At 50.4% G+C, this 25317-nt stretch overlaps 1 protein-coding gene across 36 annotated transcripts in view, besides 5 other annotated features; it reads left to right on the top strand.

Annotated features, from left to right (window-relative positions):
* TNIP1 (TNFAIP3 interacting protein 1) overlaps positions 1-25317 on the top strand; it is a 57743-nt gene that overhangs the window by 7746 nt on the left and 24680 nt on the right. For 19 of the 36 annotated variants that reach the window (XM_047416625.1, XM_047416617.1, NM_001252390.2 and 16 more), the window contains 5 exons: positions 14809-14980; positions 16193-16327; positions 17728-17813; positions 19545-19622; positions 22983-23174. In XM_047416625.1, the coding sequence (XP_047272581.1) occupies positions 14845-14980; positions 16193-16327; positions 17728-17813; positions 19545-19622; positions 22983-23174 (627 nt within the window). In that variant the 5' untranslated portion in view covers positions 14809-14844. Of the gene's footprint in view, positions 1-309; positions 1752-4168; positions 12318-14808; positions 14981-16192; positions 16328-17727; positions 17814-19544; positions 19623-22982; positions 23175-25317 lie in introns of those variants that run through there. The other 17 variants (NM_001437740.1, NM_001437737.1, NM_001437736.1 and 14 more) reach the window with 6 other exon arrangements.
* Positions 1027-1076: a silencer, noted in NCBI's record as "silent region_16518". NCBI's record gives its function as "represses an Ori minimal core promoter by ATAC-STARR-seq in GM12878 lymphoblastoid cells {active_cell/tissue: GM12878}" and the evidence as "EXISTENCE:reporter gene assay evidence [ECO:0000049][PMID:35858748]".
* Positions 12062-12804: an enhancer, noted in NCBI's record as "H3K27ac hESC enhancer chr5:150446697-150447439 (GRCh37/hg19 assembly coordinates)". NCBI's record gives its function as "activates a minimal SCP1, AML or CMV promoter by ChIP-STARR-seq in naive and primed H9 embryonic stem cells {active_cell/tissue: H9 hESC(naive and primed)}" and the evidence as "EXISTENCE:reporter gene assay evidence [ECO:0000049][PMID:30033119]".
* Positions 12805-13547: an enhancer, noted in NCBI's record as "H3K27ac hESC enhancer chr5:150445954-150446696 (GRCh37/hg19 assembly coordinates)". NCBI's record gives its function as "activates a minimal SCP1, AML or CMV promoter by ChIP-STARR-seq in naive and primed H9 embryonic stem cells {active_cell/tissue: H9 hESC(naive and primed)}" and the evidence as "EXISTENCE:reporter gene assay evidence [ECO:0000049][PMID:30033119]".
* Positions 19632-19701: an enhancer, noted in NCBI's record as "active region_23430". NCBI's record gives its function as "activates an Ori minimal core promoter by ATAC-STARR-seq in GM12878 lymphoblastoid cells {active_cell/tissue: GM12878}" and the evidence as "EXISTENCE:reporter gene assay evidence [ECO:0000049][PMID:35858748]".
* Positions 23109-23635: an enhancer, noted in NCBI's record as "H3K4me1 hESC enhancer chr5:150435866-150436392 (GRCh37/hg19 assembly coordinates)". NCBI's record gives its function as "activates a minimal SCP1, AML or CMV promoter by ChIP-STARR-seq in primed H9 embryonic stem cells {active_cell/tissue: H9 hESC(primed)}" and the evidence as "EXISTENCE:reporter gene assay evidence [ECO:0000049][PMID:30033119]".

The following is a 25317-nucleotide window of genomic DNA, read 5'->3' as shown; positions in this document are numbered from 1 at the left end:
TTCTCACAGTACGGTCAAAATGGGATTTAATCAGCACTTACTCATTTTCCAAACAATGGGGTGTGATAGAGGGGAATTCGGCATCTGATGAGAGGTCAGAAAAGGGGACTCAGAATGTTTTAAAAAAATCCTTGACAAAGGAGGGTAGAATTGTATTAGGAGGGTAGAATATTAGTACAAACTCAGCATCCCCGTGGTGGTCTCTGTTTTGCAACAGAAGAAACTGAGGCAGTGAAAAAACTGATAATGCTAATAGCTTACTATGTGCCAGGCACAGTGCTTACATTCCGTATCTCATTTAATCTTTTTTTTTTTTTTGAGACAGAGTCTCACTCTGTTACCCAGGCTGGAGTGCAGTGGCACGATCTCGGCTCACGGCAACTTGCCTCCCAGGTTCAAGCGATTCTCCTACCTCAGCCTCCCGAGTAGCTGGGATTACAGGCACTCGCCACCATCCCCGGCTAATTTTTTTGTATTTTGAGTAGAGACAGTTTCACCATGTTGGCCAGGCTGGTCTCAAACTCCTGACCTCAAGTGATCCGCCCGTCTCAGCCTCCTAAAGTGCTGGGATCACAGGTGTGAGCCGCCCCGCCCGGCCTCACTTAATCTTTCTAACAACTCTTAATTTTCAGATGAGGAAACTGAGGCCCAGAGAAGGTTAAGGCTTTCCCAAGACTAGCAACGCTTGAATCCTGGACCCTGTTCCCTTTCCCCTGACCAAGGCTGCTGTCCTGGCTGTGTCCCGGGAAAATAATGTGATCAGGGACTGGCACTTCATGGAAGCACGTGATCATGCCCCTCTGGAAGCTGCCGCTGGGAGTGTGCAGTGTTCTACACGCTTATGTAACCACGTTTGTCTCCCAGCCTTGGGTGTTCCATGGGTATGGCATGGCACTCATGCTGAAGGTTGATGCCTGCCCCTGGATACCCCCACCAGTTTTTTCGGGGCCCCAGGAAGCTGTGGGGTCTGAGTCATACCCTTACCCCCAGTGCTGCCTGTGACTTGGGGCCCGGATGTCCTGGTTGGGTCAGGCCGACCTGATTTGAGAGAGGCAGCGTTGTAGGAGGTTGTTTGTCTGCCTCTCTCTCCAACCCACTGGTTACTGTTTTACTCCTGTACCCGCTGTGATTTGGTCACACCATGCTGGCCTGCTTTTCCCCCTCCAGCAAGCCAAGCTTGTTCTCATCCTTAGGCTTTCATACATGCTGTTCCCTCTGCCCAGGACATCTTTCCCCGTTTTTCCCATGGCTGGTTTTTCCTTATCGATCAAGTCTCAGCTCAAATGTCAGCTCCTCAGAGGGGCCTTCCCTGATCTTTTTATGCAAAGCAGCCCCTTTTTTCACTTTCTGTCACGTTACTATTTTATTTTTCTCATACGTGTATCATGCTATGAAAGAATCTTATTTGCGAATGAGAAAGCATATGTATAGAACTTAGTGTCTGGCAAATTGTTATTTTTAGTGTTTATTTGTTTACTGTCTTTCTCTTTTCCTAGAATAGAAGGGGGTGAGCAGGGACCTCCTTAGTCCTCTCGAGTGTATTTCTGTAGCGGGAGAAGAGTGCCTGGTGGATGGCTCTTCTGAGTTTGTTCAGTGAATGAGTAGAATAATGGCACATTTCACAAATGAGGAAATTAAGGCCTAGAGATGAGAAGGCAGGAGGAGAACCAGAGTGCTCTCCTAGCGCTCTCCCAAGCATCATTTCCTGATGACTCCTGTGCCCAGTGCCATGCAGTGTTCTTGATGCACAGGTGCGTAAGGAGCTGGCTTTGCCTTCCAGGAACTTTTGGTCAAATGGGGAGATGTGCTATGAGTGTGACCTGAAAGGCATTGTGTGCCAGTAAGTGCCAAATGAGTCGGATTGGCATAGGTATAACTGGAGTGCAGAGTAATTTGGGGGCACCAGATGGTTGGAGGGGTCTTCTGGAGGGAAGTGACTTCAAGGTCAGACCCTAAAAAAATGACAAAGTGCAGAGTGGAACCTGGGTCTCTTCTGGAACTTAGTAGACTAGTCACAATAACTGGAATCAGCCTCTCCTCGGTTGGGAGAATTGACCAGTTGGCCTGGGAAAGACCCTAAAAGATTTTGATACCAGACATAGAAATGTTGATTTTTCTCCTTAGCAGCATTGGGAAATGGTCAGAGCAGTTGGTTCACAAACATGAGCATGCATCACAATCCTGGGGATGGAGGTAGAGGGTGGTTGTTAAACACAGATTGCTGGGCTGCAACTCCAGAGCATCCGATCCAGTGGATGGTGGTGGTGCCAGTGCCGCTGGTCCGGGCTGCTCCTTGAGCACCCCTGGTGAAGAGCACATGATTCAGTGCTTGGCAGACCTGGGTAGGTGCCGTGTCTGTCACTCTGGGCCTCTGCATCCTCACCTGTCAGCTCTGTATGACGTCAATGCTACCTCCTAGAATGGTGGGAATTAATGGGATAGTGTGTGGCAAGCACTCAGCACGGGCCACCAGTGTGGTAAGCGCTTGGTACAGGGTCGCTGCTATTATCGTTAATGATGCTAATCATGAGGCTATTGACAGGATTCCAGTAGAAGATGATGAGACTGGTTTGATTTTCTGTGCTCTGGATAACTTGCTGCTAAGGTTTGAATGTGTCCCCCAAAAGTTCATATCTTGGAAACGTAATCCCTCTGCTTCATGAATGGATTGTCAGCTCTGCCCTCATAAATAGATTAATGTCACTATCACGGGGTAGGGGGACGGGAGGTTAGTTATAAAAGGGGCCAGTTTGGCTAATACACTCTCTATTTCAATCACTCATTTTCTCCTTCTGTCTTCCACCTTGGCATGACCCTTGTCAGATGGTGGTGTCATGCACTTGGATTTCTCATCATCCAGAACCATGAGCCAAATAAACTTGTTCTTTATAAATTACCCAGTCTGTGATATTCAACAGAATAGTTGCAGAAAGCAGACTAAGACACTTGCCTTCAACCCTCTGCCACTTGTGGTCCATGCTGTGTCCCCTCTGGATGAGTTGTCCTTTGCTTTGTCTCAAACATCTGTCCCTGTTTGGAGTGGCGGAAACTCAGATGTGGGTGGGGCTTTGAAGACACCTGGCTTGCATTCCCTCAACAGCCCCAGTGCCCCTCTGCGTGACCCCGACCCCTGGGATCAGGGCGCTTTCCACCTCGTAGGCAGCCCCTTCCAGTGTTATTCCAGACTTCTTTCTTTTGTGGGCCCACATCAGCCCGGGTTCTTCCTTTCTCACCTCCATCATTTTCCCTCATTGCTTACCTGACCACTGTGAGGGAGGGGGAGAGGTTGAGCAGTAGCATGGTGTGGTAAGAGAGTGCACAGTGGCCACCAGAGGACGAGGTGTGCATTTCTTCTGTGCCACTGCTGTCCCATGTGGCTGTGGGCACGTCTGTTCGCCTTTGCCGACTTTGGTTTCCCAGCTTTAGAATGAAAATGTTTCACTCTCTGGCATCTCAGGGCATTCTCTTCCAAGTCTTAAAAACTCTATAACAACCAATGATTGGGTCACCCTCTCTTTGGCTCTGGCAGCTCCTGGTTTCCCTCTGGGCCAGGCCTTGCTGTGCCTGCCCTCCTAGATTCTTGCTGCTATGCCCCCACATGCCTGCAGTGCCTGCCCCTCCTATCCCTGGCCGTCTGTAGGGAGGGTATCCAGGCATCCTCCAGAGAGTTGCCACAGGAAGGCACAGGGCAGCTGGGTCCCCTTGTTTTGTGGGGGAGCACAGCTCCCAACCCCCAGAGAAAGACCTTGGCGGCCACCATGACCATTGTGGGAAGTTCTTGATGATTTTCCCATGACTGGCCCAGGACAGTCACTCTTCAGATTGGAATGGATGACTGGTGAGCAGCAGCTGGCTGTTTGTCTGAGGGCTGCTCTGGGCAGAGCTGAACTCTTCTCTCCCAGGGACCTCACCCTGAGGCTGTTCCTTGAGAGGCAGGAGCTCTGCGTCCTTGAGCACCTACACAGTGGACAAACCGGGCAGCCCAGGCAGGGGTGTGTGTGTGGGGTAGGTGGGTGTAGGTGTGTGGGTGCTGTGGGAGTTGTGTCACCAAGGAGTCATGCTGAGAGGCCAGGGCAGGTATGGGACTGCCCTATGAGTCAAGGGCCTTTGGCTCAGTCTCCACCCACTGGGCAGAGCATTGGCCAGGCTCTCTGTTGGCCTTCAGGCCACTTGTCCTTTGCCTTCGCTATAGTCAGCTTCAGCAGCAGACTTAGGAGCCCTGGTCCCTCTCCAGCCCACTTCTGTCTCTGCAGGTGCAACTCCTGCGTGATCTGGTCCTCAGGAAACTGGCAACATAGACTTTTAGAAAATATTGTCCTAAGCACATTAACACAGGAACAGAAAACCAAATGCTGCATTTTCTCACTTATAAGTGGAGCTAAATATCAGGTCCTCATGGACATAAAGATGGCAACAGTAGACACTGGGGACTGCTAGAGTGGGGAGGGAGGGAGGCAGAGTTGAAAAACTGTTGGGAACTATGCTCAGTACCCAGGTGATGGGATCACCCCTACCCAAATCACGCAGTATACCCAGGTAGCAAACCTGCACATGTACCCCCCGAATCTAAAATAAAAGTTGAAGCAGAAAAAAAGCAAACAATACAGTAAAAAGAAAAAAGAAAAATTGAAGGAGTCTCTCAGATACCGAGGGTAACACGCAGGCACCTACATGCTCACTCATCTGGTTTAAGAAATAACACATTTCCAATCAGTTGAAATTTCTCCTTCATCAGCCACCAACAAGAAACAAGTGTTCTGAATTTAGTGGGGTTTTTTTCTTGCATTTCTTTAAAGTTTTTTTTTTAATGTGTGCATCCCTAAATAATACATAGTATTTTTTTATGTTTAAAAATGTTATTTAGGCTGAGCGTGGTGACTCATGCCTTACTGGCACTTTGGGAGGCAGAGCAGGCAGGTGGATCTCTTGAGCCCAGGAGTTTGAGACCAGCTTGGGCAACATGGCCAAAACCCATCTCTGCAAACAATACAAAAATTAGCTGGGTGTGGTGGCGCATGCCTGTAGTTCCAGCTACTTGAGAGGCTAAGGTGGGAGGATGACTTGGGCTGGGAGGTGGAAGTTGCAGTGAACTGAGATCATGCCACTGCACTCCAGCCTGGGCAACAGAGTGAGACCCAGATTCATTCATGTTCGTATCTCCAGCTGTGGCTCATTCTTTTTTCACTGCTGTATAGTATTTCCTGATAGGAAATTGCCACAATGTATTTATTCATTTTTCTCTTCATTTTAGGTAGCTTTCAGCTTTTTGTTGTTAACACAAGGCATCTTTGGCTTTCATCTGAGTACCTCAGCCCCTGTCCAGCCCCTTTTCCTTCCTAGCTCCTTGGCAGCCATTACTGCTCCTGTCTGGGTAGCATTTTAAGGTTTACAGAGAACTCTATGGTTCCTACTTGGTCCTCATAACATTTCCATAGGGAGAAACAAGGAAAGTGAGGCCTACCCAGGGTCATTCGAGAAGGGATCATAGCCAGGATTTGAATCTGTGAAACCCTCTTTCCACCATATTTTGTATAAGAGGAATTCCCCAAAATTGGCATCTTACCTCTTGGAGGCAGGGGAGTTACAGGGTTAGATAAACTCTGGTTTCAGGCCATCCTCCTGCGTCTGTCTCTGGAGTAGCTGGGACTACAGGCATGCACCACTGCACTCAGCTCACTTAAATTTTTTAGAAAAATATTTTAAAATTTCCCTTTAAAAAAAATTACCAAATAGCACATGATTATTGGGGAAAAACCCCCCAAAACTCAAGCAGTACAAAAGATATAATGTAAAAAATGACAGTTGTCTTCTCTCTCCTTCCTTTCCCCTTCCTCTGTCCCTACTGTATTTAAAAACTAATTTTATAATTGTATAAGAACAGGACTAGATTTCCCATGTAAAGAGTTAAAATAGCATAGGTAAAATAAAAGTTTCTTTTGGTTTTAGTTCCTTACCGAGGTCCTTCTGTAGAGCAGTCTACTAGTAGCAGTTTGGTATGTATCCTTTGAGACTTTTTTCTTTTCTTCTTTTCTTTTTTTTAAGAGACAGAGTATTAGTCTGTCACTCAGGCTGGAGTTCAGTGGCATGATCATAGCTCACTGTAGCCTGAACTGCTGGGCTCAAGTGATCCTCCCACCTCAACTTTCCGAGTAGCTGGGACTCCAGGCATGTGCCACCATGCTCTGCTAATGTAAAAAAGTTTTTTTTTAATAGAGAATCTATTCTTGCTTTTTGCCCAGGCTGGTCTTGAACCCCTGGCCTCAAGCAATCCTCCCACCTTGGCCTCCCAAAGCACTGGGCTTCCAGGCCTTTTTCTATGCACATTTAAGATTCCGTATGTATACACACACACACACAATGTGTTTTTGAAAAAAATAGCATCCTGTTACACATATAAATCTGCACTTTGCTTTGTATTTTATGGGCATCTTTCTGTATCATTGCCAAGCAATCTACCCCATTCTTTTTGATGGCTGTATAGTATTCCATCGAATGAATGGTGGTTTGTTTAACCAGTCCCTTCTTGATGGACATTCAAGAATAGCAAAAATGTCTATTACAAAGCATGTGGCAGTGCATATTTTTGTCCAGCTTCTGTGTACTGATGCAAAGATCTCTAGATTCCTAGATAGGGTATTACTGAATCAATCAGTTACTTCTGCCCCCTTAGGTAACTCACACCTCCTCAAACACCCCTTTTTTTTTTTTTTTTTCTTTTGAGATGGAGTCCCACTCTGTCTCCCAGGCTGGAGTGCTGTGGCGTGATCTCGGCTTACTGCAATCTCCACCTCCCAAGTTCAAGCGATTCTCCTACCTCAGCCTCCCCAGTAGCTGGGACTACAGGCACCCGCCACCACACCTGGCTAATTTTTGTATTTTTAGTAGAGACTGGGTTTTGCCATGTTGGCCAGGCTGATCTCGAACTCCTGACCTCAGGTGATCCGCCCACCTCGGCCTCCCAAAGTGCTGGAATTACAGGCATGAGCCACCGCACCCAGCCCTCAAGCACACGTTTCTACATGAGAACTTTGTTCTCACCAGTTAGGCATACATGCAGGTTGTTGTCATTGAGAAAGGACATTCTTCAGTAGGTGACTCAGCTGTAAGAAAAGCAAATGTATACCCAGGCTCCCTCAATAGGAATATACTACCTAAAAGGGTGGAGGTGAAAGCCTGCATTTGGTCAGGCAAACCATGCCTGGAATGTTGGGTCCAGTGCTAGAACCAACTAGAGATAGTGTGGGGTAGAGGGTTGGTGGGGGACTGGAGGGGGGGCAGTCCCTATGTGGAACAGTATAGAGAAGGCTGCAGGTTCCAAATGTCCTCAGGGCTGGCTGTCATGCTGAAGATGGGCATCTTGTTCCTTATTCCAGGGGACCACAGAGGGGAGAGAAGGGCCAGTGGAAACAGAACTGGGAGCAGCCTAACTGTAGCCAGTGCTGGCTGCCCCAGGAATTGTTTTGGGGAGGAAGTTGGTGAGATCTGGATTGCTAAAGTTGGCCAGCTGGAGTCCCTGGGCTCCTCAGAGGACTGGGTAAGCACAGGATGGAATGTCCTCTGAGCTCCCTTCCAGCCTGAGATTCTAAACCCTGTTGACTGCAGGTGATGTGGGGCAGATTGCCACCTGGTTGCATATAAAGCTAGAGACATATAAAGGCAGGGGCTAGGAACTTGGGGCACGTTCTGGAGAACTGGAAAGTAGGTCTGGTTTCCCACCTCTGAGCTTCAGCCTGCCGCCTCTCCAGGCAGTGTAGAGCAGTGGAAAGGGCACTGATGTTGGAATCTGACAGATTGAGGCTGCATTATTTGTTCTACCACTAACCAGCTGTGTATTCTCAGGCAAATGACTTAACTTCTCTGAGTCTGCTTCCTCATCCATGTAGCTGCGTCGACTGGTTTCCTTGCTGGAAAGTGTGGATGATAATTTCCATATCTGTGTGGCAAGAAGAAAATGAGGTCATGTGCGTCATGATGCGGCCCAGCACCTGGCATACGGTAGCGCCTAACGAACTGTCACCCTCTCTCCAGCTTAGTTAGGTGCTCTCCAGTCCTCTTTTGCAGTGTGAATTCTGGCTCAGGTGTTTAGCGGGTGGTGTGTAATCTGGGCCTCGGAGGCTGAGTGGAGACAGTGGGGCCTTCTTTGTGGGTGACTCGGGAGGGGAGGATGAAGGACATGGGAAGATGTGTGCCATGTTGAGGAACACAGATCAGGCTTGGCCAGAGCCTGGTACAAGTTAGGCAGGAGGGGAGGACCTGGCACAGGGCTGCGGATGTCAGCTGAGGGTCTCTGACTGCCCTCGGGGAGGGGATAGCACCTATGAAAGCTCTTATGGGAGGACTGATGGGTTAGGGAAATCCACCTGGGCCTTAGAAGGGATTGGAGCTGGGGATTGGAGCCTTCTTAAGGTTAGAAGGTTAAAGAAAGTAGTGCTAATAAATTTCAGATCCTGAAATGTTAGAACTGGAAGGGGCCTTAATGATTATCCCGCACAACCCCCCATGTTATTACTATTTTTGCAGCTCCCTCTTTTTAGGTAACTGAGGCCTAGTGAGGGTTAAGATGTTCGCCCTAGTGTACCTTGACTAGATCCCACAGTTCTGGCGCCCCAGCTGTTACTATATGAGACTCTGTGTCTGCAGCCTCATTGTTGCTCAGTTGATTGCAAGGATGGAGGAGTTAAGTCTGGGCTCCTTGTTGGTGAGGATGCCAGGGTGCGGTCCTTGAATACACACTGTCTCAAGTATGTGCTGTGTCCTCACTCATGTGTGAACCTGACAGCCATCAGGAGAGCCCAGCCTGGTCCTTTTCTCTTTTAAATTAAAGACCTTATTTTTTATAGAGCAGTTTTAGGTTCACAGCAAAATTGAGAAGAAGGTACAGAGATTTTACATATACTGCGCCCCCCCCACCCCTAACAGGCATAGCTTCCCCCATTATCAACATCCTCCACCAGAGTGGTAGATTTTTTACAGTTGATGAATCTACATTGACACCACTGTCACCCGGAGTCCATGGTTTACATCAGTGTTCCCTCTTGGTGGTGTATGTTCTATGGGTTTGGACAAATGTGGAATGGCAGGTGTCCACCATTACAGTATTGAACAGAGTAGTTTCACTGCCTGAAAAATCCAACCCGGCCTTTGATGGATGGACCTGAGGCTGCAGTTTCCCCAGCCTGGAAATTGGTTGGGGAGGACTGGAGGTCATCATAACACAAATATGTGGACAGTTTTTTGTTTATGTCTGCAATGTGATATCATGGCATCTCACTTCCTTTCATCCTTGGGTGGAATTGCAGGATATTGCCCTTTACAGCAGAGGAAATGAGGCTCAGATTCCCAGTTGTTGGTGAGTGTGGCATCGTGGTTCAAGGGCTTCTTATAGCTACATGTTCACTAGCTATGGTGTGTCCAGGCACCCTGCTTAACCACAGTTAAATGGTGATATGCAGGTCACTAGAGAATAAGTGGAGGCCAGAACCTAGCTTACTGAGCTGACGGAAGAGCCTAAAATCCCATTAAAGGAGAGAACAAATGGGGAAAGCCTTGGCCCTTAGATAAGCTGGGCACAGTTGTGGGGTTGCCTCAGCCTTTTATTAAGCACCTGCTGTGTGTCAAATGCTGAGCTAGTTACTGTATACTCTTATTATTTTGGAAATCTTATTATAAAACAAAGATGTGTTTCTTGTTAAATCAGATAATCAGGAAGTATTGCCTAAAGTAGAAAGTGAGAATTCCCTTCCAACTATACACATATTGTTTCATTTAATTTCTTTGATCTTCTATCAGGTAGGTTCTATTATTACTCCTGCTTTACAGATGAGGCACCTGAGGCTCAGGAAAGGTGAGTGGCTGCTCCAGGGTTTCACAGCCCACAGGGTGGACAGAGCTGAGGCTAGTGCAGGTGAGGCCCCCTCTCAGGCCTCGTGTTCGCAAGGTTGGCCTTGAGCACTTTCCCTGTGTGGACCTTTCTTCCTGCCTCCAAGGCAGCGATGTTTCCATGGTGCTGGCTCTCTCTCTTTCCTCAGCTTGCTGCTAGCTCCTGAGACTTGGGTCTTCTTGATCCTGAGGCCAGCTTTAGCCATCACCCGGTTTCTGTGTGGCCCATGCTCCTCCCCTTGCATGTGAGGGAATGAGCCCATGGTTCCATACACAGCAGAGTAGACACTAGAATAGACCTCTCTGACGTTCTGTTCTGTGCCGTCTTTCCTGGAGACCCCTTCCCTATACCCCCTCTGCCAGCCCACCTGCCAGCATCCCTGGCAGCCCTCACCTCTGCTGGGGAGGTAGATGTTGGCCTCGATGACCTTCCACCTCCCTGTACCAGAGATTTGCTTACACTTTTCCCTCTGGGCCAGGGAGGGCATCACCTGCTCCAGGGTTGCAGGGATAGCTGGCCCCAGGATGCAGCCAGTGACCAAAGGCATTAAATTGGGCTGATTAAGTCCCCAAGCTGGACTTCAGTTTCCTTATCCATCAGGCAGGTATCAGCCCTGCCTTCTTCCCAGGGCTGTTGTGATAATCAGATGGAAAAACAATGCTTGGGACACTATGAAGTATTTTGCAAATGTTAGTGGCTATGCAAGTGAATATCATTTGGGGGGTCTGGGACCACCCCCCTACCCAGCCACCAGAACACTGCTAATGGGAAGATAATCTGACAGACCAAAGCATTTCAGAGCAAAAGCTAGAATGTAAATTTAATTCTGAATGTAGTCTTTATCATACCCCTCTCTTTCTGGGGTAAGGCTGAGAGTTGAGCCCTGGGGACTACTGCCTCCCTGCCACCCACAAGTGCTTGCCTGCTAGTGGGTGGCTCCTTCGGTTTCAGCAGCATCACTTCCATCTTCACGGTCTGTGGTTGTTGCCTGACCTGCCGTCTGTCTGGGCCCCTTTCTGCCCCCAAACTGGGCCTTTCTGGTTCCAGCGGGCAGCCCCAGGGCCCCTCTGGGGCAGGCTGTGGAGGCCCCGCTGGCTGAGGTCTTGTTTTGGAAGAAAGTCTGCGCTGGCTGCTTCTATACCACCAGCTGTTTCTGGTTTGGGCAAGCGGGGCTGGAGTCCCACTGCTGGTGGAGCACCTGCTGATTTGTAGTTTGTGGAACCAGGCCAGGTGGAAAGAGACTCTGAGAAGATGTGGTGGGGGCCTGTGGTGTGCCATGGGATTGCTGGGCAGGAAGGGAAATGGAGGATGGGCTGTGGGCAGCCTGGAGGGAGAGCAGGGATCTTCTGGTCCCAGCTCCATCCTGACTCCTTTGTGACCTTGGCCTTCCCTGCTCAGGGCCTTGCCTTGCTGCACTGCCTGTGCCGTGAGTGAGAATCAGATGAGCTCATGCCCGAGGACTCCTGGGCTCTGAACTCCAGATACTGCCACATGGAGGGGAGTGGTCAGTGCTTCCTTTTCCCCTTTGAAAACATCCTCGTGGTTTGTGGACAGCAGAGGGGAGTGCATGCCATCGTCATGTTCGAATGCAGCCCCTCATCCATTGAGTGTTTCTGGGTGCATCTCTCTCCCACCTGATAATGCAGGATTCGCCTCATTGCCCTTGGAGAGTCCCCTCCAGCTCTGTCATCCTGAGAATGAGTCCTCTCTCTGGGAGAAGTTATAAAAACCTCATTGATCAGAGGGAGAGTTCCCGTCTGCCCAGTGGTCATCCAGGGACTGCCGCTGACCATCTGGGCATGAGGTCAGCAGAACTTGGAAATTCCCTGTTTCCCTCTTTGTCTTTCTTTCCTCCAGAAGTCCAGGCCCTCCAGGGGTGGCTCCTCTGATCTCCAGAGAGGGTTTTCCCACAATAGGATATTTCTCCTGCGTCTCCTCTGCCCACTGCCTTTCTTTCTCCCCAAGCTCTGCCCCCTGAGGCTAAAGTAGGGGAGCATAGCTCTGTCTGCCCACTTTTTGTTTCCCATGAACCCCTTTCCCGTTGACTCCCCAGCGCCAAGAGAAACTGAGTGTTGCGTGTTTTGGAGGACGTGGGGTGGGTTTCAGTTCCCACATCCTGCATCCTGCTTTGTCCCTTCGCCTTACATCTGGGCCTCTCTGAGGGAGCATGGCTGGCCCAGCCTGGATTCTAGAAGTGTCTGGGCGTCCAAGTGCGTCTGGTCAGTGGGTCAGGGTTAGGCTTTCTCTGGGATGTTGGACATGGCCTTGCAGGAGGCGGGGTCGGGGTCAAGGGCTTGTTCCCTTCAGTCTGACTTCTCTGAATTCAAGGTTTACCGAGGCCCTACTCTGGGCCACTCTGAAGATACCCTGGCACACAGGATGGACTTGCTCCCTGTCCTCATGCAGCCTCTAATCTACAGGACAAGGCAGACATTGAGTAAGAAATTCCCCATGCCTTCATGTGGTGTTGACTGTGAGTTCCATTTAGGGTGAATGCATAATGGTGGACAAGAACCAGGACACTGCTGCCTTTGTCATGCAAGGTGGCTCCAGGCCCCTTGTAGCCCTCTGTTTCACTGTTCTTGAACTCCAAGCAGCTCTCAAGGAAGGCCCACCCTCCTGTGCTCCCGACAGGAATACAAAGATGTGCAAAGTACGCTCCTGCCTCAGGAAGTTCCCAGCCAGATGGGCAATGCCCGCACCAGTCAGACACATGCTGTACCAGGTGGCAAGCCTCGTGAGGACAGAGGCAAGCAGAGGGGAAGGACCCCCAATGTCTGCCAACATTTTTGAGTACTTTACTATGTGCCAGTTCCAGTGCTAAGTGCAGCCCCCACACTGTTTCTTAGTTCGGTGGAAACATCTGCACTTTGTGCTATGCTGTAGAACACTGACCTTTCAGGTTAAAAACAAGTCACCCCTAAGCCGGGTGATGACTTGTGATGGGAGTGTGGGTAGCTGTCCTTTGCCTCGCAGGCTCAGCAGGGCGTGGGTGCCTCCCACACGGTGTATTCATCTTGTATCTGTCAGTCTTTGGGAGAAGGGGTCCTTCTCATCAGAACTTTGTTTTTCTTTCTGGCCCATTCCATCCTATGGACGCTCTTGGACAAGTCCTTATTGGTTCTTATGCTGCAGGGCAAGGGAAACTGCCCAGAGGTGACCTGATAGCATGGTGCTGCCCTACAAAGAGATTTGAACTCCCTGTCTGCCCCTCTGGCTCTGTGTCCTGGCTGTGTGAGTATGGTGGGGGTCAGAGTCACAGCAGGCAGGGCTGACTTTGCATCTTGGCTCTTATTGCGGCCGGGTCATCGTGGCTGAGTTACTTAACCGCCCTGAGCCTCAGTTTCTCCCTTGTAAAATGCAGATGAGATTAGTATGCATGTTAGAGTTACTGTGCAGCTCCTCCAAGATTGTATATCTGAAACATTTAATGCAGTGCCTGACAAGGAGGCGATTCAAGCATGGTGGTGTTGCTGTTAATCCTTTCTCACTCTGATCTTTCATTTACATTCTGGGAGCAGGGTGGTATGGTCGTAGTCACCTGGCAGCGCCAAGGACCCACGGAGCATGGTGTGTGGACTTGGGAGGGTCTTTGAGGATTCCTGATGAAACAGTTTTTGTCTTGGGGGTGGTGACCTTGGGAGGAAGGTGCCGAGCCCCCAAACCCTTCTGAGGTCCCCAGTGAAGGCCTTGGCCCTTTCATGCTGGAGAGCTATTTGGAGGGCTGGAGGCTGGCTCGGTGTTTCAGCCTTAGGGCCTCTGCCCTTACTGTTCTCTCTGCAAAGAATGTTCTTCCTTCAGATGTCTTCATGGCTAGTTCCCTCACCTCTTTCAGGTCTTGGCTAAAATAGCTCCTTATGCTTGGGGCCTTTTGTGCATAGACTTTTTGATTACCTGAAATATTGTGTTCCCCACCATCCTCCTCTGCTTTCACCCCTAGACTATAAGCTCCATGAAGGATTTTTGTCTGTTTTATTTGCTGATAATTCCTCAGCACCCAGACTGGTGCCTAGCACGGAGTCGATGCTCAATAAGTAATTGTTGAATGGATGAGTGAATGGACAGAGAGCTTCTCTACTAAGCCACAGAGTTAGGATTCTAAAATCACCTTTCCAACTGGTTTCAGTGACATAAAGCAGATGAAACTGAACAGATTACTAAAAAAAAACCTTGGTGCTCAAATAGACAGTGGTTTGATGAAAAATTCTTCTGTTCCTTAGAACTGCAAGGGACAGACCATATATGATATGAGACTCACGGAGGAGGGTGACAGTGTATTAAATATTAGTCAGGGTGTTTTTTTCTTTTCTTTTTTTAAAGAAGATGATACACATATAAATGGAACTTTGGACTGGGTTGACTTGCTTATCCCTTAGGGTACAAGCATTTCACTTTAAAGATTACTAAATTAACTTAAGACTTTCATTTCCCTCCCTCAGAGAGGGGAAGGGACTGCCCATAATCCCATAGTAAATTAATGCCTAGACCATTAATTGAGTAAGTGTTTATTGGGCAAAATTCATAGCTAATACTGTGGTAGGCTCTGAGGATGCAATGATGGGTAAAACATATGGGATTCCTGTTCTTCTGGACCTCACAGACAGGACATGAACTCAGATTTTTTTTTTTCCAAGTCCAGGTTCTTTCTTGTATCCCACATTGCACCCTACTGTTTATTTGGACTCCTGTTCCAAACAAGCCAACAGTGCATTGAGGCTGCTAAGAGAAACTAATGCCATTCTAAGGTTGTATTAATAGAGGCAGAGCGTCCAGATAAAAGGAGGTGACTGTCCTGCTTTACTATAATATGGTCAGACCAGCTTAAAGTGGGGGACTGCCTTCTGGGGCATTGACAGACTAGAGCTTCTCTGCAAAGGATGCCCCCATGGCCTGGCCAGCCTGCTGATATGCTGCTGTTGTCCTTACAGCCAGGCGGGCACCACGGCAGGGGCTGAGCTACCCTCATGGAAGGGAGAGGACCGTACCGGATCTACGACCCTGGGGGCAGCGTGCCCTCAGGAGAGGCATCCGCAGCTTTTGAGCGCCTAGTGAAGGAGAATTCCCGGCTGAAGGAAAAAATGCAAGGGATAAAGATGTTAGGTAAAGCAGACCCTGTCCCCTCCCTGCGAGCGCCCCTCCCTGCAGACTGTGATGCCAGTCCCTCTACTAGCAGTGGAGAATGAAGCTGGCATATGCCTCTGCCCAAGTCATCCCCTGTCCCTCCTGGCCCAGCGCTGGCTCCTGCCTCACAGCTGTCTCTATGCACCATGTAGCATGGTGACAGTATTCCCAACCCTGATTCCTCAGCACCCGGAAACCAGGATGACAGGACTCAGGTCCAAGAGGGAGGCGTGGGCTAAGGGAAAGGGGGCTGGAAGGCCCAGTTAATGGCCATGGAACTAGAGTGGTCTCCTCTTTCTGGGGCACGAGAGATGGGGAGAGCCAGCATGACCAGGCAACTGGGGCACGCGTTCCTAGGTGTTGGAGCAGGGAGCAGAGCTTGGCTTGAAGCAAGGAGGTGGTAGGTCCCTCAGTTCTCTTCTCCTGGCTCTTGCTCAAGCCATCCCCACTTTAGAACAACCCCACCTCCCTCCACACGACCGACGGGCCCTGTGCATCAGCACCCAGTTGCTGTGCCCCCTTCTCCTCCAGACAAGGCTTTCATTGATTTCCCCATCCAGAGGGGGCTCTCTTTCTTCCACACTCCTGAAACTCTTCCTTTGCCTTGCCGTGCCCTTCTCTAGTCTCATGTTTTAGAGGGGAGCATAGCCCCCTGATTTTTAAAATGCTTTCTCCTTGCTTGGCAGATCCTTGCTTGGGATGGCCGACTGGGGAGGGAGGAGTGGTTTCCCCATCTCCACTTGTAGGAGAAGGAAAATGGAGGCCTAGAGGGCTGGTTGGAATTATCCAAGGTCTCCGCCCTGCAGGCAGCCCTTTGCCCTGGTGGCTCAGGCTGTGGGTAGCCCGTAGGGTGGGGGAGCCCCTGGCTTTCTGTGGAGTGCCCTGGCTGGGTGTGAAGGGAGTGGGGCAGAAAGAGAATGCTGGGGGTTGGGGGAGCCGAGGAGTTTCTCATAGATTCCTTCCGCTCCTGTGTCCCCCGATTGCTGGGCCCTCGTCCTTGCTCTAGCCTGTTTCTTATGGTGGACCAGCATGGAGTTTGTCCCACTTGGCCCACAGAGCAACGGTGGGAGTGAAGTCCAGGGCCTGGAGCCTCAGAAGCCAGGCGGCAGCACGGTTAGGGGCCTGGGACGGGGAGAAGCAGCACACTGAGCCGAGTAAATGCTTTTGCTTCCTCTTCCCCAATAACTCTAGGGGAGCTTTTGGAAGAGTCCCAGATGGAAGCGACCAGGCTCCGGCAGAAGGCAGAGGAGCTAGTGAAGGACAACGAGCTGCTCCCACCACCTTCTCCCTCCTTGGGCTCCTTCGACCCCCTGGCTGAGCTCACAGGTATAAGAGGAGTCTGGGTACCTCTGACTCTCCCTGTACCCCAAACTGCCCAAATCCTTCACAGTGAACTCCCTTCTTATGCCAAAACCCACATTCTCTCGTTTATCCTTAGGTCACAGGCTACCCTTCCATTCATGTTTTGGCTGCCACATCCCCCAGAAGGTCAGATTTGGAAGGGACTTCAAAACAATCTTGTTAAAAATAGCCAGTGACTCAGCACTCCTGAGGCCCCAGCAGACATGAGTAATAGATACAACAGTTGACTACATTGCAGTCCTGTGGCCTTGGGGTCTTTATCAGCATATTTAATATTTAATGAGCAGCTACTGTGTGCCAGGCATCGCACTCCAAGCAGCTACTCCCTGTCACTTGGAGCTGGCATATGAGTTGGAAGCTCCCTGGTCGTGCCCTGCGCGTCCATTTTACAATTAGGGAAGCTGAGGCCCAGGGAAGAAGCTGGGCTTGCCTGTTAGCCTGCTGCAGCGTATTTCAGATGTAAGGTTACGTGTGCTGCCCATTAAAGGACAGGGTGACTGTGGCTCGGGGTTGAAGTCCCATGTATGGTAGAGGCATCACCATGCGTACAGAGTGTGCATTACTCTGGCATGTCTCCAAGTCCAGGGTAAGGTCTGGGACCAGGATGGAAATGATCCGCACCTCAGCTGGACTCAGATGCCTCCTGCTGCAGCTCTACTGTATGGTATCTGGCCCAGGCCAATGTGACAGCCTTCTATTGGCTGGTGGTTGCATTTGCTGAATGGACAAATGGAGGAAAGTGATGGTCTCAGAGTCCACTGTGCTGCAGTCAGTGGGCATTTCCAGCCTCTGCTTGTCTATTCAGCAATGTTCCTGAGTTCCTGATTGGTGCCAGGTCCACTCTCAGAGTGAGAAATGAAGCTACCTTCAAGGAGCTCCCTGCAGCAAGGACTGCAGGAAGTCAGGGAGGGAGGGCCAAGTCTCAGTCCTGAGTTTGCAGTTGCTGGCTATGTGGCTGTGGGCAAGTTGATGACCTTCCCAAGCCTCAGTGTCCTGACCTTTAAAATGGGGATATGGGGCTTTTATGAGAATGGCTGGGATAATAGATACATAAAGACTTTTCAAATTGTAAATCATTGTCTTTATCATTGAGGCCTGTTCAGGGCAGCAAGGAGCAGCAGCCAACTTGGGATTTTCCCAGTAAGCCCAGGGAGCATGGTCTCTCTGCTCAGGCTCTGCCCCGTCACTCCAGGGCAGGCCATTTTCTCAGACTACCTGGCCCTGATGAGACCACCTCCCATTCTCCCACACTCGAGTGGGGAATCCTGTCTGAGAACCCTTTTGTCAAGGGCTGTCCTTGAGAGGGTGGTACCTGGGCTTCTCCCCTTCCCAGTCAGTTCATCTGTGCTTTCTTGATTCTCCAGGAAAGGACTCAAATGTCACAGCATCTCCCACAGCCCCTGCATGCCCCAGTGACAAGCCAGCACCAGTCCAGAAGCCTCCATCCAGTGTAAGTTTTATTTGGAGTCATGGGTGGAGGTTGCCTGGATGGACCTCAAGTCCTACTGACAGATACAAGAACATGAAGAAAGAGGGTTGAGGTCAAGAAACTGTGTTCCGTCTCGCTGGGTGATATTGGGCAAGTCCATCGCAAACTCTCTGGGGCCTCAGCCTCCCCATTTTGAAATGAAGGTCATAGTTAAAACTTACCAGGAAGACCCTGGTATGTACAAGGAATTCTTCTCACTTACTAAGTTGTATACTGTTAAGTATCACTGAGTGTGCACAGTGCTAGGAAAACAGACAGATGTGACATGGAGCTCACATTCTCAAAGAGGGCTCAGAAACTATCTTCTACAGGCTGGGCGCAGTGGCTCATGCCTATAATCCCAGCACTTGGGGAGGCTGAGGCAGGAGGATTGCTTGAACCCAGGAGTTTGAGACCAGCCTGGGCAGGATAGTGAGACTCCATCTCTCTAAGAAAAAAAGTAGTCAGGTGTGATGGTGTATGTCTGTGGTTCCAGCTACTTGGGAGGCTGGCTGAGGCAGAAGGGTCGCTTGAGCCCAGGAGGTCAAGGCTGCAGTGAGCCATGTTGATGCCACCACACTCCAGCCTGGGTGACAGAGTCAGACCCTCTCATAAAAAAAAAAAAAAATCTACAGATTTGGCTGGAGAAGTTTTGCTTGGTATCCTACAAGGGATTGCATAGTTCAGCATCCTTATCCTACAGATCAGGTGCAGGGAAAGAAGGACCTGTTCTGAGGTTACACGGGTAATGGGGAAAATGTAGATGGAGGAGGGAGACTTTCTAGGGCAGGGCCAAGAGCCAGAGGTGAGTTCTTGGTGGCCATGAGGGTCAGCTGGAAGCTGAGCACTGACTCCTCTCATCTATCCTGCCCCTTTCTGGGATGAAGGGAGGCTGCAGACCAGGTTTAACGGGACATGGAAATCCCAGATCCCAGAGCTAATGGCTGGTTCAGGTGGGCCATTGGCTTCTTGGTTGGTTGAATGACCAGTAATTCTACTAGGAATGACGGAAAGATGTGAAAAAATCTGGGATTTCTTGGCCACCGTGGATTTGGTTGAATCCTGAAATAGTCTCCAAATTTGGTGAATCATCTCTGGGACTTTTCTCAGATCAGTTCACTCCTCTGGGATCTCCAGGACTGGCTTGGGAAGGCCAGCACAGGACATGCTTGGTGGTGGCCGTAACAGCTGCCATCTGTGTTCTGGGAAACCGATCAGAGACGTCTGGGCCTAAGAGACAGCTCTGGGGCCGTGGCAGGAATGCTGGATCTGCAGTCTTGGGTTCAATCCCTGCTTTTGCATTAACCAACTGTATACTGTAGTTTCCTCATCTTTCCAAAGAGGATATAACCTTCTGACCCACTCCATGGGTCACCCTGAGAAATAATGGAGCTCATGAAAGCATTTAAAAAGTACACGGCCTTAAAAAATGCAATCCTACAGTGCTGCTGGTTCAAGGTCAGCTAGTCCCACATCTCCCTTCTACAAAAGAGGATTGGCCATCGAGGGGATATGACCTCACATTATGCAGAGGGCTATGACAGGCTTGTCGAGAATCCTGCTTTGTGATCTCATGTGAGATGATATGTAACGGTCCCTGTGTACTCAAAATGGGAAGAGATTTTGTCCCCCTTGCTGCTCTCAGCCACAGGGCCGCAGAGGAGGGGTGAGCTGTTTTTCTCTCGGGCAGCACCTAACTTCCTTTCTGCACAGGGCACCTCCTCTGAATTTGAAGTGGTCACTCCTGAGGAGCAGAATTCACCAGAGAGCAGCAGCCATGCCAATGCGATGGTGAGTGGACGGGCAGGACCCCGGGCTTGACCTGCTGCCCTCTTTGTGTCCTGTCACTTGCTACCATGTGAGAGGCACAGAACCTGTTCAGATCCCTTAGGTACCCTGGAGTCACTTGGGGATACACGAGGGGCAGGAGCAAAGGGTGCTTCTCGCTCACATATGCAAATTCCTGGGCTAGTGACTTCCCCGACTTGGAGCACACGGGCACCCGACCGTTGTGAAAGCCTGGGCTCTTTGCCAGCCCTGTTGCCTTCTGCCAGGGGCCAGGCACCTCCGCACACTATGACTCAGCCCTTTGGGTCTGTGGGCTTCCAACCCCGGGGGAGAAAGAAGGGTCAGGAAGGCCCAGGGCCCTGTAAGACAGGTGATTTGCTCTTTGTGCAGACTCTTGGAGCACACAGGAAGGAGGTTCAACTTTCCACTTACACGCATGCGCGCGCGCGCGCGCACACACACACACACACACACACACACACACACACACACTCTCTCTCTCTCTCTCTCTCTCTCTCTCTCTCTCTCTCTCTCTCTCTCTGTCTCTCGTACAGCTCTGGAGCGTCTGCCCAGCATCCTCATTCCACACCTTACAACACTGGCTGCCTTTTTCCTAACTATATCTCCTTCTGTTCTTTCTTAAAATGGCAGACTTATTGAAGAACCATTGTGAAAAGTCTGGAAGATTCTTTAAACGACTTAAATTTCTACCTTCTCCATTCTCCCTTCCTTCCCACTTTTAAGTTTTTTTCTTTAATTGTTGTTATGCGAGCAATAGGTGCTCTAGCCCTTCACTGATATATTGATCCCTGCTGCCTCCCTTCACAAAGGTTTGGCTGACAAATATGCTTGTGTTCACTGGTTGCCCCATGTACCTGTCAGTGCCCAGTGCAGGGCCCCCTCAGGTGGCTGTCTGGCTAACTAGCATGCCTTCAGTGTTGAGAGGCTCACCACTGCCTCAGGCAGCTCTGAGTATTGGAAAGGCTCTTTATGTTCTGTCGCCTGGAACCTTCTGTCCCCTTGTCCTGTTCTGTCCCTGAGGGCTCTGAGATGCTGGCCATGGAGGCAAGATCCCCTGCTCAGAAAGTGTTTCACTCTGACTTTGGACCGATAACTTTAACTGACGTAGTAAGTTCCTCATTAGCTCTACAGTGTGCCTGTCTCTGCTGAGCCACTTGAGCCAAGACAACACAGCCTCCCTGTGCTCTGAAGCTTGTAGTCTGGAGAAGTCGCAGGCATGGGAAGCATCGCATGAGCCTTAAATAGAGCAGCATCTGCCACCTCAGCTCCTTTGTGGAAAGAGGCAGTGGGGGAATGGATGCAGAGTTGAAACAGCAGCATTTCCTCTTGTTAGAATGCGGCACACTGACGCCATTACACAGGTGTTCAGGGAATGCCAAGTTGGGGTTATAGTCATTGCCATTCCTCCAGAGTTCAGAGAAGTGGGAGGTCAGTGCAGCAGAGCACTGGATGGCGAGTCAGGAAACCTCAGTTCTCGTTATACCTCTGCCACTGACTTACAGGGCAACTTTGGGCAAGTTCCTCCTCCCCATAGCTTGGTTTCCCGGCCTGATCTCTGAGGCTCCCTGTAGCTCTGCTGTCCTGTGATTCCCATAACTGTTTCCGGGAGGCTGCTGGAGGAGCTGAGCCGTGGACAGGGTGGGAAGGATGAGCAGAACTTGCAGAGGCAGAGAGGACACAGAGAGGACACATGCAGAGACACCAGACCTGGTGTGTGTGGGTTCAGGCAGGGTAAAGTGGGGAGCCCAACTGGATGCTGCTGTGGATGGGACCTGCGGCTGTAGGGCCTTAGATGCCCAGCAGGGGAGCTGGGCCCAGTGCCGTCTGCAGTAGGGTAACACTGCAGGTCCTTGGGAGTGGAATTGGTGTAACAAAGGCAATGTCTTTGGTAGGAGTATTCCAGATAGACTAGAGAGAAAGAGTCAACTATCTGGCCCACGGTGTGCTTTATTTCTTACATACTGTACTAGTTTGGGACTTTCTGAAATAGCTAAAGCTGTGGTTCCTTAAACTGTTTTGAGTCTTGGGTCCTCAGAAGCTGATGAATGCTTGGGCCATTCCCCAGAAGACACATGTGTAGGCCAGGCATGGTGGCTTACGCCTGTAATCTCAGTACTTTGGGAGGCCGAGGTGGGTGGATCACCTGAGGTCAGGAGTTCAAGACCAGCCTGGCCATTGTGGTGAAACCCCGTCTCAACTAAAAATACAAAAATTAGCTTGGTGTAGTGGTGCACACCTGTAATCCCAGCTCCTCAGGAGCCTGAGGCAGGAGAATCGCTTGAACCCAGGAGGCGGAGGTTGCAGGACGTATATGCAGATGTCCCTTGGTAAACATGGGAGAGTGGTTCCAGAACTCCCTGAGGATACCCAAAATCCATGGATGCTCAAGTCCCTGATGTAAAATGGCGTAGTAGTTCCCTATAACCTATACACATCCTCCTATATACTTTAAATCATCTCTAGATTACTTACGATACCTAATACAATGTAAATGCTAAATTTTGGTATACTGTATTGTTTAGGGAATAATGACAAGAAAAAAATTCTGTACATGTTCAATACAGTTTTTTGTTTGTTTGTTTTGGGACGGAATCTTGCTCTGTTGCCCAGGCTGGAGTGCTGTGGTGCGATCTCTGCTCACTGCAACCTCCGACTCCCTGGTTCAAATAGTTCTCCTGCCTCAGCCTCCCAAGTAGCTGGGATTACAGGCACGTGCCACCATGCCCAGCTAATTTTTGTATTTTTAGTAGAGACAGGGTTTCACCACTCAGGCCGTCTTGATCTCCTGACCTTGTGATCTGCCCGCTCAGCCTCCCAAAGTGGTGGGATTACAGGCGTGAGCCATCGCGCCCGGCCAGTTTGTTTTTTTAGAAGATTTTTGATCTGCAGTTGGTTGAATCCATGGATGCGGAACCCATGGATATGGAGGGCTGACTGTGCAGTGATGTCCCTTTTCTGGGCTTGTTACTGTCAGGGGTCAATTCATCCTCCTAAGAACCCTGTGAGGTTGAAGGGAGGGAAGGGTTGTGCGGACATTTGGTAGATGAGGATGCTGAGGTCCAGCAGACAAGTGACTTACTGTCAGGCACTCTGCAAGGCCCAGTGTGTGGGAGGATGGTGGCCCCGCTGCTGTGGAGCCACCAGTGGCCTGTGAGTCCTGGGTTCTGCCCTGTGAGTCAGCCCCAGACAGGGAACCTGCATAACTGGAGAATTTCCCGGGGCTGAGCTGGGGTCACAGGGGGAAACTGAGTCATGAGAAATGAGGAAGCAGAGGGAGAATGGACTGGCGGCGCCTACTCAGGCCTTGGTGAAGAGTGGGCCGTGTGCCCTTTCCCTCTCCAGGCGCTGGGCCCCCTGCCCCGTGAGGACGGCAACCTGATGCTGCACCTGCAGCGCCTGGAGACCACGCTGAGTGTGTGTGCCGAGGAGCCGGACCACGGCCAGCTCTTCACCCACCTGGGCCGCATGGCCCTGGAGTTCAACCGACTGGCATCCAAGGTGCACAAGAATGAGCAGCGCACCTCCATTCTGCAGGTGAGGCGCGTGGGGAGGGCAGCCCGAGACAGGCAGGCGTGCTTCCCCCCGAGCTCTTCCCACCTTCCTGCTCCTGGGAATCCACTGGTACCATGGGGACTTCTGAAGGCTGTGTTGTGGGCAGACTTCGGGCTTTTTGTTCAGGGTGATGAACAGGATAAGGAAGTTGTGGGGAGGGATGAGGAAGAGGAAGGAAATGGGGAAATACGGGATGGGCAATGCGAGTGTCATGGTTGGGGATACCCCCAGCAGCCCTGCCTTTATTTCTCATGTGCAGGGTTGGGGGATGGGAAGGGAGGGAACAAAGGTCAACTCCTTTCATAATGCCTCTTTCCCCCCAGGGTAGGCACCCTCATTATCACCACTTCACAGGTGGGGAAGCAGCCCTTTTTTTGCCCAAGGTCACCCAGCTGGTAAATGGTGAAGTAGGGATTGGAACCTCGATCTCTCGCATTCCAAAGCCCATACTCTTGACCACCATCCCAACCTGCCTCCCCTATTGAATTCCTTTTGAAAGCCTCCCTGTGCTGTGGGGAATGGACAGATTTCCTTGCTAGGCCAGGCCAGACCTTGGAGTTATATGGTCCTTGGTTCCAGTAGTGACCCTTTATTGCTGTATGACCTTGGACAAGTCACTTATCCTCTCTATCCCCCAATGTTCCTATCAGTAACATGAGCTAGAAGTGCCTCCATGGTTAGATTGCTGCATTAAATGAGGCCATGTACATGAAGCACCCAGTGCAGTCCAGAACCTAGTCCATGCTGGAAGAGAGGTCCCCATTCGGAGTTCATGACGGGCATCCACACTGGGCAGGGGGTCTTAGCCTTGTGGGCTTTAGCAGCGGGGAAGTGTTCAGTTATAATTGGTGACCATTCTAAAGATGGCAAAACGGAGGCTTCTGAGGGACTGCTCGTGATCTGAGTGCCCGCCACCTTAGTGACAGAGCCATGACTTGAAGCCTCCTTACTCCCTGCAGACTCTCCTCCCAGGCCATTCTCTGATCTGTGGTCTCATTCATGTCAGCAGGCACTCAAGTGCCCCGCTGATGGCAGAAGGGGGAGTCCCCCTTGCGTGACCTTGGTTGCCGAGGGCATGAAGGGCAATCAGGTTGGAGATGCAGTATGAGGAGAGGTGTGGGGGTAGAGGAGCACGGAGGATGCCCATCCCACCTGGAGGGGAGGGGTGTGTTGGGAGGTGAGGCTGAACGAGAGGCAGAGGCCTGGAGAGCCAGGCTGAGAGAAGGGAACCCCTTTAAGATGTCAGTGAGGCTTCAAGGTATCCAGGCTGAACCCTGGCAAGGTGAGCCTGGCACAGTGCCTAGGCTGTGGGCAGGGTAGGAAGGTGCCTGGGGTGAGAGCACTTTGCGCATCCACTTTTCAGCTTTGAGATGGGGATAGATCCTAGGCCCCTTAAAAGGGGTCCTGCCAACCTCTGTTATTTTTTATTTCAGTCCCCTCCTTGTTTATTTCCTTCTTAGCTCTTATCATAGTTTGTAATAATTTTATTTAATACATTTTTTCTTATACTCTTTTTTTTCTTATACTCTCTGCTAGAAGGTAAGCTTGAGGGGGGCAGGCACCATGTCTGTTGTATTCACTGTTGCGTCCCAGTTCGTGGCACTTCATACACACTTGGTGAATGAATGAAAGGACAAAATAATAAATGATCAAATGAACTCATAGCTCTCGTAGCACCTTGGATGGAAGGTGATGATCTTTGTGACCTCTGATGATTCTATCCATTGGCCGGTTTGCACCCAGGGCATTGGCCCAGAGACTCCAAGGAAACAGCTCTCTAGACTGCAAGGGTAGGACAGCAAGTGAGGCCTTGTCCTGGCCTTCCCTTAGGGACTAGGAGCAGGCCATTCTGTTCCCTGGAGGCCTCGCCCAGAGACATGGCATCTTGGGTATTTTTACTGCCTGGGTGGAGGTGTATTGATCCAGTTCCTCCTCATTCATTCACTGATGTGTTTCTTGGTTCACTAAACAAACATATTCAAGGTCAGGTATAGCATAAGGCTCTCTGCTAGGCATTGAATGGACTCATAACAATAATTTTTTGATTTCTTTTTTTTAAGGGGTGTTGGGGGACAGGGTCTTGCTCCGCCACCCAGGCTGGAGTGCAGTGGTGCGACCACAGCTC

The sequence above is a fragment of the Homo sapiens genome, chromosome 5, assembly GCF_000001405.40.
Source record: "Homo sapiens chromosome 5, GRCh38.p14 Primary Assembly".
Lineage (NCBI taxonomy): Eukaryota > Metazoa > Chordata > Mammalia > Primates > Hominidae > Homo > Homo sapiens.
The sequence above is the reverse complement of the archived record's forward strand: the minus strand, read 5'-3'. Positions and strand labels throughout refer to the sequence as shown.